Source organism: Homo sapiens, chromosome 10 (genome assembly GCF_000001405.40).
Source record: "Homo sapiens chromosome 10, GRCh38.p14 Primary Assembly".
Classification (NCBI taxonomy): Eukaryota; Metazoa; Chordata; class Mammalia; order Primates; family Hominidae; genus Homo; species Homo sapiens.
The window spans coordinates 120,389,205-120,398,257 of NC_000010.11; the positions used below are offsets into that span (position 1 = coordinate 120,389,205).

The window sequence follows — 9,053 nt, forward strand, 5'->3', positions numbered from 1 at the left end:
CACCTGGCTAATTATTGTAATTTTTTTTTTTTAGTAGAGATGGGGTTTCGTCATTGTTAGCCAGACTGGTCTTGAGCTCCTGACTTCAGGTAATCCACCGCCTTGGCCTCCCAAAGTGCTGGGATTACAGGGATGAGCCACCATGCCCGGCCTTGGGTGAATTTAGAAAACCTTCCAGTGATTTCATTAAAGTACATGTGAAAAAATTTTAAATGTACATGAAAACTTTTATCTTTACATGTATCAACCTTAGGAGTCTTTAGGGACAGGGACTTTTACAAGCTTCTAGGGTGATTCTAATGAGTCCTAAAGTTGGAGCCACTGCTTAATGGTTTGATAAATTCTCAACTAGCATATTTTTGTAATCACATATCTGTCCCTCATAACTGGCAATACACCTTTTCAAATAAACAAAGAGAGGGCCTGAAGTGCTTATTTTAAACAGCCAGGAAGTTGGGGATTTGCATTTACTTCCAGAGCTTAGCATGGGATGGAAAGAAGAACCCCAAGAAGTAGAGTTGGGGAAGATAACTGTGAGAAGCTCAAAGCGATAACCCTAAGGGACTGAGGGAAGGAAGAAAGGCCCTCTGGAAGGTTTAGAAGAGATAAAAAGAGACAAGAAAGGAGGAGATGTAGGGTAGACTGCAGAGCCACTGAATTAGTCTGTTCTCATGCTGCTAATAAAGACATACCTGAGACTGGATAATTTACAAAAGAAAGAGGTTTAACTCACAGTTCCACATGGCTGGGGAGGTCTCACAATCATGGCAGAAGGCAAAGGAGGAGAAAAGGGAAACCTTACATGGTGGCAGACAAGAGAGCAGGTGAAAGGGAACTCCCCTTTATAAAACCGTCAGCTCTCACGAGACTTATTCACTATCATGAGAACAGCATGGGAAAGGCCTGTCCCCTATGATTCAATTACCTCCCACTGGGTCCCTCCCATGACACAGGGGAATTATGGGAGCTACAAATCAAGATGAGATTTGGGTGGGGACACAGCCAAACTATATCAGCAACAAATTATTGCCTCTGATGTCCTTCTTAGCCTCAGCCACAGTTTGGTGCCTGGGACCTTCCAGGTGAATAAGCGCTTGTGTTTGTTATCATGAGCCCCTGCACAGTGGTTATACTGTGTTCACTATAGAACTGTTGGTGGTGGTGGCTCCCACTCCAGAGCTTTGTCTCAAAGTTCCCGTGACATACAACTTACATGATTTTTCCAGTTATTTTCAGCAGATATTTTAATTTCTGATGCTTCATGCAAATTGATTGGCTAGGGCTCAGCCTTGTATTTTATAAACTTCCAATACCATCCCTGCCCGCCATCTCCCTTGTCATGCGGCCAAGAATCACTGACTGCATATTCAAAACTGGAGCCCCAGGAGTTCCAGAGAGACAGATCAATGCCAATGAATGAATGCCACACTCTCAGAGAACTGGAAACTTGGAAGCCTGTATAGCCAATATCTCAATTTATAAGTCAACAGGAAACCAATTTTATTTTTTGTATTATTAATTTACTTATCTTTTTTTATTAGAGAATCAATACACATTGATCATTAGAAATTGAAACCCAACGGAAGAGCATAAATAGTGGTAGTCTTCCATTCCCTAAATCCTCTTCTGTAGTCCAGCTCCTGCGACATGACACTGCTAGCAGTTTGGTGTGTATTCTTCCAGACCCTGAGACAGACACACACACACAAACACACACACACACTTGTCCATAGCTTTGTTCTTTTCATTCTGGCAAAAAAGTGTGACAATGTAAGGTGTTCCCTTTGCCCTTAGCCATATACCATCGACAGCTAACATTTTGGCTCTTGCTTTATCATTAATCTCTGAGCTGTAGTCTTGGTATGCCTTCATTAATTTAGCTATTCTCTATTGGTTGATATTTGGGTTGTCTCTACTTTTGTTATTTGATCATTTAATAAATATGTTTCAAGTGTTTATTGAATGGCAGCCTCTGTTCTAGACCAAGATTCTTGCACTCAGGGAGTTTGTGGCCATAGATACTCATGTACCCTCTCCTTAACCACCCAGGCAATGTTTTGGGGTACAGTGCTCAGAGTAGGTCCTGCCCAAATCCCGCATGTCTAACTTTAGATTGTGTCATTTAAAATTCTGTACTTTTTGTTTCTATGTAGAAAGATTAGTTTCCATTCCAGAGTCCTGTCTCCTGTGGACCAATGTGAAGGTAATTCTATTTTAATCAGAAAGGCTGAGAGAACAATTGAAGTCATAATGGAAGAGACCTTTTGTCAAGGAAACACTGATGGAGTTTCTCAGTTGTATTTTGTCTGCTTTCCTTTCTCAGCAGATGTAATTTAACCTGTTCAAATATCCATCATTCCAAGACACCCTCAGGCCCTGAAGTAGCTGGGGACTGACAGAGGTCTCCAATGAAACCTGATATCTTTCTAGAACTTCCAATGGAGGGGGAGTGTTTTAGAAACTGGGGGGTCATTTTCAGAGTTTCAGCACTGGCAGCTTCAGCTCACTTTGCCAGTCTTGTGATAAGCCTGCTCTTGGGAAAGGAATAGCAGATTTGGTGATAGAATCCTTTTGTGGTTTCTGATTCCCCCAAAATGGACGGATAGACTACAGAACATTAATTTAAATCAGACCTATGATTTCAATAGAGTGTCTTTATTTTGCTAAGTGACCTCTGACTTCGTGTATTTTCAGCAGCTCTGTAAAGAGAGAAGAGTAATTGTTGCAATCAGCACCTGCCAGAAATGCAAAGAAACCAGACCTGGGTTAAAAAAACTAGGCAGGGAGTTCTCCATCAGCCTGGGTCTCAATTCTCTAATCCTTTTCTCTTAGGTGTTGCTGCTTGGGGTTGAGAGTGATACTGGCTATGGACAGAAGAGGGGCACGTTATATAGGGGAAGGGGAGTCAAATAAGGCAGGAGCTCCCAAGCCAGAGTCTTGAGTTCAAATACCTGGAAAGGCACTTACTAATGATGAACTGTAGGCATGTACTAACCTCCCCAGGCCTCAGTTTGCCCATCTGTAAAATGGGATGATAATACTGTGCACCACAGGGCTGTGGGGATTATCCAGATTTCCGGTCACACAGTTGACATTCAGATGTGAGCTCAGTCCCCCAGTTTTGCTGTAGCAGAACTGACTGGGGCAGAGGGTGGGGAAGTGGAGGCAACAGGGAGGTGATTTATCTGGTTTATAATCCACAATGACTCACTCTGCTGGAGTCACACATACTGAGGTCTGGAGCTCTGGGCTACACAATTTCCTGCTGTGGACTTTGGCTGATACGCTGAACCTCTCTGAGCAACCCATTCCTCAGTCAAAGGGACTCGCATCTGGAGAGTGTTTGTGAGAATTAAACAAGAGCATACCTAGAGGGTGTCCTGCACTGTGCATGGCATGCAGAGAGAGCTCAATAAACAGCACCCAGCACGCTCAGCATTGTTCTCACCATTATTGCTGCTACACCTCTTCATTTTATATCTGTCTGAATTGTTTGATTGGGCTTTAGTTGAATGGCTGCCTGCCCATTTGGCATAGCAAATGAAGGATAAACAGGGTTCGTTTCTATTTTGTTGACATTGTTTCTCTACCTTCAAACAGGTGCCTAGAGAGGCAGCCAAATCTGTTGGGTAATTTTCTCAGAAGAAGCACTACCTGTGTTGCAATGGAAATCATTATTCTTGGCAAACATCCTCTAATGTTCCAATGGATAAATCAGCATAAATAACCTCCCTGAACAGTTTTATATGAGGTACTTGGGGAACATTTTCAACTAGTGCCAACCATGGGGAGGCCCACACTGTTTGCTCACTCACTGTCCTGGTAGCTGCAGCGGTTGCCTTACTGAGATTATTTTATGACAAGCTGGGTGATCAGTGGCACTTCCTTTACACGTGTCCAAATAACAAATCATCTCTCCCACCCTGCTGTGTAGTGCAAGATACCAGAATTTCAATCAAGTGGGCACACAGGCAACTACAAAGGCATGCACATGTTCATTCATTCATCATTCATCACGTAGCAATTCAATAAGTGTTTGCTGTGCACCTAGTACATGCCAGGTACTGATTAGGTCAGGAGAATGTGATAATGAGGAGAAAACACAGTGCCTTCCCTATGGGGCCTACAGCATAGTAAGGGAGAAATATGCATCTGCATCAAATAATTGTACAGTGAACACTAAAGTGGAAGAAAGGAGAGGCATACAGTATCAGAGAGTGTGCAATGGGAGATCAGATTTAAGCAGAAGTGATAAGGAAGGCTTTCCAGGGAAGCAGTGCTTGAAGGGAATCTGAAGGCTGAGGTTGGCTTACTTGGTTCAAGGTGAGAGAAGAACATTCCAGAAAGATGGATCAGCAAGTTCAAAGGCCCTGAGGTGAGAAGGGGCACCCATGTACCAGGAACTGAGCAAAGGCCAGTGTGGCAGTGAGTGAGGGGTGAACAAGTCAAGGTGGGTCTGAGAGGGCAGGGAGTATTGTACAGGCTATGCAGGGTCTGGTAGGCATTGCCAGAAATTCCTGTTACACTTATTCCCATACCAAGGGGAAACTCTTACAGGGTTTCAAGAGCGAGTCCTTTAAGAACGAGTGTTTGTGAATCTGTGTTTTAAATGCAATTGATTTCCATTTTGCAAGGACCTCTCTGGCTACGGTGTAGGTGGGGCAGGAATGGAAATGGGAGAGCAGCAGGGAACCCGGGAGAGATGGGGGAAATGGGATGGAGATGGTAGTGGGAATAATTGGATCTTTGGAAGCAATTCAAAAGATGACATTGACAAGATGTAGTTTTAGATTTAGAAAGGTAGTGGAGAGGTTCAGGGTACAGGATGACGCTTAAGTTCCTAACTTGATGCCAGGATGGACAGTGGGGTCATTTGCTGAGATAAGAAAACTGCACAAGAGCTGGTGGGCAGGGGAGATGGGTTGGAGGTAGGGCATGGAGAACCCTGAACCCTTCGTCACAGCACTCTCTGGGCCTTGCCTGTATGTGTCCTGTGGCCACTCCACACAAAGGAAGAACCTGCTTCTGAACTTTGTGCCACCAGCACCTCTGGGAACAAGCTTTCAGATTTCTCCTCAATACCACTAAATTGTTGCATTTTTGGTACTTGTCAGGAAACTCAATTCAACCTCTGAAAGAAATGCAGTTTCATCGAGACCAAATCTAAGAGTCAAGTTCACTCTCCTTTCAGTAATAAATGACAATACCAAGAGCCCCTGCTGTTGGAGGGCCACTGTGCTAGGTGTTTAACATTGGCAACCCTACCTAAGCTTGGTTCCAATTCTGACTACCAGCAAGCACTGTGCCTAGTTCTGGTTCAGTGGTCAAGGAATTAATTTATCAAACAGACATTACTCACCAGAGACCTATTGACCTATTGTGCTGTGCTAGGCCCTTGAAGTATAAAGACAAATAGGACATGGCCCTGTCCTCAGAGTGGGGAGAATGAGTCAGTGCTGTGTTGTTATTATGCCAAGAGTAGGTACCAGGGGCTTTGTTTCCTCACAAGGGAAGGGGGAAGGGAGTTGGCTTGAAGTGGTCCCTATTCATTTTCATGAGCACCTGACATGAGGCGTGCTGACTCTACTCTGCTGCAACCAGTTAGAAGCTCACACCACTGTCCTTAAATCATCCATGTCTCTCTTCCAGAAACTTCAATAGCACCTACCATGTGCTGGCATTCACTCATACAGGCTACAGTTCCTAGCTTGAAGAGACGCCCTGGCAGGGAAGATGGGCATACCAAGGCCTAGCTATAGGCAGAAGGAAGTAATACAAGGAGTGGGGTCTGGATTATAGAGGAAGATGAATTAACCTTCCCACCCCAAGGGAGGATTGGGGCAGGCTTTTTGGAAGAGGTGGCATTTGCTTTGGGGATGGCTTGAGGGATGAATAAAGAGTTCAGGGCCGGGCGCGGTGGCTCACGCCTGTAATCCCAGCACTTTGGGAGGCCGAGGCGGGCGGATCACGAGGTCAGGAGATCGAGACCATCCCGGCTAAAATGGTGAAACCCCGTCTCTACTAAAAATACAAAAAATTAGCCGGGCGTAGTGGCGGGCGCCTGTAGTCCCAGCTACTTGGGAGGCTGAGGCGGGAGAATGGCGTGAACCCGGGAGGCGGAGCTTGCAGTGAGCCGAGATCCCGCCACTGCACTCCAGCCTGGGCGACAGAGCGAGACTCCGTCTCAAAAAAAAAAAAAAAAAAAGAGTTCAGGAGGTAGAGTGCATGAGGGAATAACATTCTGGGTTTAGAAATAAAAGTCAAAAAGCAGGGTATGTTGGGGGAAGGGTAAATAGCCAGGGGGTGCTGGAATGCAAGGCATATGATGGGGAAGTAGTGAAGAAGAGGCAGAAATGAGAAAGGGATGGGTACTGGAGGGCCTCCATGCTAAGGAGTTTGGATTTGATTCTGCAAATGACCAGAGCTGTGACGTATATCCTAGGAAGGGTGTGGCAGGATGGTTCCCATAATTTAGAAAAATGACTCAGGTCACTTGGTGTTAAGGTGAAGAATGGGTTGGGAAGGTGAGAGTTTAGAGGCAAGTTTCCAGATTTAGGCAGCTGTTATGGGTTGAATTGTGTCTCCCTGAAAATATATGGTGAAGTCCTAACCCCCGGTACCTGTGAATGTGACCTTATTTGGAAATAAATTCTTTGAAGATGTATTCAAGCCAAAATGAAGTCTTTGGGGTGGGCTCTAATCCAGTATGACCGGCGTCTTTAGAAAAAGAGAGAAATGTGGACACAGGTGCACACAGGGATAATGCAATGTGATGATAATGGAGGCAGAGATGGGAGCTATACAGCTGCAAGCCAAGGAATGCCCAGGCTTGCCTTGACACCAGAAGCCAGGAGAGAGGTTAGGAACAGATTCTCCCCTGAAGCCTTCCAGAGAATATAGCTCTGCTGACACCTTGTTTTCAGGCTTCTGGCCTCCAGAACTATGAGATAATTCATTTTGGTTTTTGAGGCCACCTAGTTTTTGGTAATTTGTTATAGCAGCCATAGGAAGCAAACACAGCAGCTTTCAGTATTTCTTGGAAACCAGCTAGCACGGGACTCACATTTAGAGTATTAGCAGAGATGGTACTCTCCAACCATAAGGAGAATTCAACACTCAAACTTTCTTGGTCAAAGGAAGCCGTGAGGACCTTCATCAGCCCAGGCAAGTCCTGACAAGCCATGCTGCTGCTGCTGGTGAAGCCGTGATCACCTGTTGCCTCAACAGACAAAACGGAGTTGCTCTTAGGAGAATGATTGGGCAGGAAGGAGCAGCCAGTCATGAGAGAGCCATACTGCCCACCGAGACCCACTTCACAGCTGGGATGCCACCAATAATTGTAATGGAAAAGGCAACGTTATGATATACTCCAGATGCTTTTGAGAACTTTAGAGCCTGACAAACAAATTTGAGTAGGATTTACCATTTGTCTTGCATGGAGAGGATGCTGATGTGGTGAGAAGGAAGCTTCTTCTCCTATCTTTGGGTTAAGTGGCTGCCTCCTCTTGTCACTGACTGCAGTGACAGGTTAAAAATGAAAGTAAGAAACTCACTCCATAATTAATGCAAATCAGAGCAACAAAGTAATGCCATTGTTCACCCATCAAGTTGGAAACAATTAAATTAACTGTTGTTGGGACAGGGTAGGGAGGTGGTATTTGGCAGTCAACCTCCTAATGTCAGTGGGAGTAGAAATGTTTGTAACCACGTAGGAGGGTAATTTGGTCATGTCTGTCAAAATGTTTAATGCATAGACATGTAGGCAAAGGAGTTACCCTGCTAGGAATTTACCCTATGTTTATATTTGCAAAACTTTGCTAATTTATATGTGTAAGGATACTCATTGCAGCACTGTTTACAATAGCAAAAATAAAAAAATTTAAAAACTGCAAACAAGCTAAACATTTTTAGTAGGAGAATAGAGAGTTTAGTTATGCACATCTATACAATGGATTACTAAAATTAATTGGGATATTTATTCTAAGATAATTATATTACTGGTTGGAGTACAAATCAGTACAACCACTTTGGAAAAAAAATGCATACCATATAACCCAGCAGATCCACTGCTATGTGTAAACACCACAGATATGCATATATATAATCACCAAAAGACATTATAAAAATGTTCCTAACTGCTGTAGAGTATTTATATTAGCCCAAACTGGAAACAATCCAAATATCCAAACATCATAGATTGGATCAATAAACTGTAGAATAAACATGCTGTTGGAATATCATACACCAATTAAAATGAATAAACTAACAACATAGATGAATTTCACAAACACAATGTTGAGTAAAAGAAGTTGGACATAAAAAAGATAATATAATACAGTTTGAGTATTCCAAATCTGAAAATTTGGAATGTGAAATGCTCCAAATCCAAAACTTGAGGACCAACATGATACTCAAAGGAAATGCTTATTGAAACATTTTGGATTTTGGATTTTTGGATTTGGGATGCTCAGACAGTAAGTATACTGCAGATGTTCCAAAATCTGAAAAAAAATTACAACATTTCTAGTTCCAAGTATTTTGGATAAAATATACTCAACCTGTAGGACATACTATAGCTTATGATTCCAGGTGTCTAAAGCTCAAAAGCAGGAGAAACTAAATGATAGTAATAGAAGCCGGAGTGAGGCGGACCTTTGTTGAGGGTAACTAATGACTAGGATAGGGCATGAGGGAGCCATCTGGGGTGCTGAGTAATATTTTATCTCTTGAAAAAGATGGTGATTATTTGAATGTATTCACTTTGAAAATTCATGAAGTTCTATACTGATGATTTTGGCACTTTATATATGTAGTGCTTCAATTTAAAAAGTTTATTTAAAAAATAAATAGATAAAACTAAAAAACAAAAAGAACAATCTAATTCAAAAATGGGCAAAGAACTTGAGATATTTCTCCAAAGAAGATAAACAAATGGCTAATAGGCATGAAAAGATGTTTAACACCATTAGTCATTAGAGAAATACATATCAAAACCACAGTGAAATGCAACTTCATACCCACTAGGATGGCTAATTTTTTCAAAAAGAAAATAA

At 42.9% G+C, this 9,053-nt stretch overlaps 1 annotated feature.

Annotated features, from left to right (window-relative positions):
• Positions 7,301-7,810: an enhancer, noted in NCBI's record as "NANOG hESC enhancer chr10:122156017-122156526 (GRCh37/hg19 assembly coordinates)". NCBI's record gives its function as "activates a minimal SCP1, AML or CMV promoter by ChIP-STARR-seq in primed H9 embryonic stem cells {active_cell/tissue: H9 hESC(primed)}" and the evidence as "EXISTENCE:reporter gene assay evidence [ECO:0000049][PMID:30033119]".